Source organism: Homo sapiens, chromosome 4, assembly GCF_000001405.40.
Source record: "Homo sapiens chromosome 4, GRCh38.p14 Primary Assembly".
Classification (NCBI taxonomy): Eukaryota; Metazoa; Chordata; class Mammalia; order Primates; family Hominidae; genus Homo; species Homo sapiens.
Genome location: NC_000004.12, coordinates 120341726 through 120346264, shown reverse-complemented (window position 1 = coordinate 120346264; position 4539 = coordinate 120341726). Strand labels below are relative to the sequence as shown.

The 4539-nt window shown below is 39.6% G+C and overlaps 1 pseudogene; it reads right to left on the bottom strand.

The window, feature by feature from the left end:
• SAR1AP3 (secretion associated Ras related GTPase 1A pseudogene 3) lies at positions 1406–4285 on the bottom strand (annotated as a pseudogene).

Here is a 4539-nt window from a genome sequence, read left to right as displayed (position 1 = left end):
ATATTGTGGATGCTGCAATACTCCTCACTGTTGAAATAGGAAAAACAAAAAGAAAAACGGAAACAAAAAACAATCTTTTTCCAACATTTAAAAATAGTTCATTACAGGCCAGGTGTGGTGGCTCAAGCCTGTAATCCCAGCATTTTGGGAGGCCGAGGCAGGTGGATCACCTGAGGTAAGGAGTTCAAGACCAGCCTGACCAACATGGTGAAACCCCGTCTCTACTAAAAATACAAAACTTAGCTGGGCACAATAGCAGGTGCTGCAATCCCAGCTACTAGGGAGGCTGAGGCAGGAGAATCACTTGAACCCGGGAGGAGGAGGTTGCAATGAGCCAAGATCATACCACTGCACTCCAGCCTGGGTGACAGAGTAAGACCTTGACTAAAAAAAGAAGAAAAAAATTCATTACAAAATTTAAAAAGGATTGGATTATTAAAGTTGTCACTGGCACATCTAGTTTTCAGCTTGTTTATTTATATAGTAATCTTAAAGCATTACTCTGGTACAGAACTAAAAAGTTAAATAGAAGACATTTTAGATACCCTGTTTAGATGAAAGAATTATCTGAAAGGTGATGCTTTGTTTAACTCTTCAGGAATTCAGGCAGGAAGATTCTGAGTGATATTTGTCTCAGGAAAGAGTTGCAGAGGGAATCAAATGTGTTATTTGAACAATTTATTTACAGTAAGTAGACAGTGTTGGAGCTGACCCCAAGTCAACTGTTTCTGAGATGTACCTCCCACCTTTCCCGTGTTAATCCCTCACAGCTCCATTTCCCAGGCTGCTCCTTGCCCCCTGCTTCCCACGGTCCTCACAGCCACGCTTCATGTCTCAGATTTGTCCCTCTTCTAGATGCAAACTTTTAATTCCAACTTCTTTAGTCCCTGCTTCATGATTATTTCAACACACACACACACACACACACACACACACACACACACACACACACACACACACACGACTAGAACAAATCTTGCCTCATGTGAAAACAGCATAATGCATTACCTATTTTAGGGAACACATGAATATTTTAACCTCTGCCCACACCTAATGCAAAAAAAACGCTTCTAATACTGAAAACTCAGGCACTGGGTGAAGTCTCTGGTAGAAATAAGTACATGAAAAGCTTTGGGTGTGTGTAATTCTCAGTGAAGAAGGCTGAGCCTGAAAAGTAAGCCAAGTAAGCCAAACCTAAAAGTAATAAAGTAATAAAGAAATTTAAACCACATAATTGCCACAGTGTCTTGAAATAAGATGATCAGTTTTGCCTTCTCACTTTCATACCATCCCCACTCTCAGATGCCATGTCAGTGCTTCTCCAATACCAATGTACCAGGGGATCTGGTAAAATGAGGCTCTGGTTCTGTAGATATAGGTGCTGTCTAAGACTCTACACTTTCGTTTTGTTTTAACTTTTTATATAAATGCTTAGGATACAGATTGACATTCTTTTGTAAATGACGGTTTTACTTTTCCCGAAATAGGACATATATGTACTGCTAAAACAGAATGAAAAGTCTTAATTCATTGGAATTCCTGTACAAGGTGCCGAAGCTCCACCCAGCAGCTTCTTTCAGCTATTTTATTATAGGAATAGTGTTCGGTGGGGCAAGAAATACACTGGTCCTAACTGATTTTCAATCCCCTTTCTCCAGTGGGATAAAACACTTTCACAAAGAGCTGCCCTATGTAGAACCCCCAGTTTTCTAGCTTGCAACAAAGTGACTAGGGACAAATAGGAAAAAAAAGTAAGAAAACTAACACTGAAGCAATCATACTTCTCATGTCTCTGAATAGAGAAGTATGGGGAACCTTTAACCATAGGAACTTAAAAATATCCAAGTTAATTACATAGTTCATTCACTATTAGGTAGATTTTTTCGCTTAAGGCTTTAACCCCTTTCCAAACCAACAATTGTCTTAATCCAGCTATGCTTACTAATAAGTGAAATGCATGAACATCCCAGACGTACACTTCACTGAGCCTCTGCATTAGGTACCCGGCAGTGAAGAAGTGTGCTTTCCCAACAAGTCAGCACTGAAGACTGAGAATGAAAACTGCAACTAAAGAAGGATACTCTCTTACCCTGGAAATATATTATCTGCACTTTCCCTACCCTCACATTAGAATACAGATATCCTCCCAACTTTTCATCTCCTATGTTATCTTTCCCTAGGAGATCTATTGTTTGATCTTTTACTACAAGGGTAGAATATATGTTAAGATCACCAAAATTCAATTTTACATGTGGTACAAGGAAAATGGAATGCTATAAAATTAAACCTCATCATCCTGGTAGGGATGCTGGTGCTTTTATACAGAGTCTTTACTGTCGATAAGTGATGCTATCTCCCAAGGAACAGCTCTACAGAAAGTTTTTGGGTCAGTGTTTCCCCCAGCTTATTTCTGCAATGGAGAAAGGCAATTTCATACCAAAAAACCAAACAAACAAACCTGGAAAAGCTACAGATGTTAACTCATACTTTAATACCAACAACATAGATATCTAAGGAGAAAAGATGTAAGAAAAATAGTTCATGCACAGCCCAATGGAGACCAAATGCTACAAATGGAAATTTTAAAGCTCACTGAGTAAAATTTTCTGGATCCAAACAAGTACTACAATACTTTTAAGTCCTCAACTCACAGAATTAAGAGCCCTTAAACTGTTAACTTTGTCCTGTCTTCCTATTTAGAAAAATATCCCCCTCGAATCTATGCAAAAGTAACTGACACACCTGCAGTATGTGACATGAGAGATGTTCTCAACTCTTTTAAAAAGCGAAAGTCACTTTTTATAACCAAAAATGAAAAAGATGCTATAGAGAGAAATAAAATTTCACAAAAGTACAAAAGCAGAGACTGGCTGAAATCTGTAACTTTGTAAATAAGAATAACCCACTCTATAATTAACTCCTCCACAGTCAACAATCTGCTACACATTCCTTGATGAGGAATGACCCTAGTTTACCACAGTGAAACCTGCCACAACTGCAAGGCCAGAGTTCTGTCCCTTTTCTGGTTCTGTGTGGACAGGATAATGCCACCTACTCCAAGGCAGTTAGAGAGACAGATGTGCTCAGGGGAGTTTCGCTCACCAACCTGCTAACTCAGCAGGAGTAAGTTCACCCAAATGAGCTCTGGTCTCCAATGTGTATCTGCGCATAATTTTATGAAGTATCTAAGTATCATTAACTAGTTAATAAAAAAGAATGGAAAACTCTAGACCAAGTAAACTGAGAACTAAAAAAGTGAGGAGGGATACCAATTACATTAACAACACTTTCTTTAAAAAATAGAATCGCTTTTTTTTAAAATCAATTACAGTGGTGAGACATGATTTTCTTTTCAGGTGCCCCACAATGGCACACAGCTTTACCCGGCAAATCCTGCCAACTTCCAAGTCCCAGGATACTGACCAGAATACTGCACGTGGGGTAGCATTACCTTCCAACGGTGTGGAGAAGGGCACATATCACTACTGGGTAGTGAGAGAGTTGACAGAGACTCTAGGCTTCACAATGCCAGACATAGTTGCAGAGCTTTCCTTGTTCTATTAGAAAAGTTCATGAGGAAGCTGTGAATAGGATCAGTCCAGAGAAGTGAAACTCTTATTTTCACTGTCAAAACTTCAGAAACCCTCCCTGTAGGTTTGCCTCTGGAGCACACTGCACGTGAACACTTCCGCGGGGCGAACATTCAGCTGTTTCAGGGTCACATTCCCCTTTCCTGTGGTCTGTCCATAAAGCCCAAATATCTCACCGAGTTTTTCTGCACTGATTGTATCTGTTCTGTCAATTTTGTTACCCAAGATAAGGATTGGCATAGTGGATATTGTTTCATCAGCCATTAAAGAATTAAGCTCAACTTTGGATTCTATAAGGCAAGAATGATCTGCACAGTCCACCAGAAAGATAACCCCATTCATTGCTGGGAGACAATTTTTCCAAACTCGACATGCTTGTTCATGCTGACCAAGGTCAAAAGTTGTAAAAGTCATTCCAACAATTGTTAGCTCTTTTGATGTCAGATGTAGTGTTGGAATATGTTGGCCCAATCTGTCATCTTTGATCATGTGAAGAAGAATGGTTTTGTCTGTATTGTTTAAACCTACGAATAAAAGTTTTCCAGATTTCTTGTTGAGTCCTAGGAATTGGGGCACACTGCTGAAGCCACTGCAGATCCACTCAAAGATGAAAGACATTATAAATATTTATTACACCCCAAGGGGCTCCTCCAGCAAAATGGCAGGTGGCTCGGACCCTCACTCAGAGCATACAATCCAGCTACTTGCTGGATGTATGGGTTCTACATTTTTAACTAGCTCCCAAGTGATAAGATACTGCTGGCCTCTGGACCACATTTTGAGTGGCAAGATACCATGAGACAACCGAATGTTTTATGTTTGGGGATTAGACACTTGGGGCTTATCTAAATCAATGTAACAGGCGGTGATAGGTGCTTCATCCTCTAAGAATCAAGAAGAAAATATGTCATATGAAAGATTTTTTAAACCTATTGCTAATTTTTTTTCT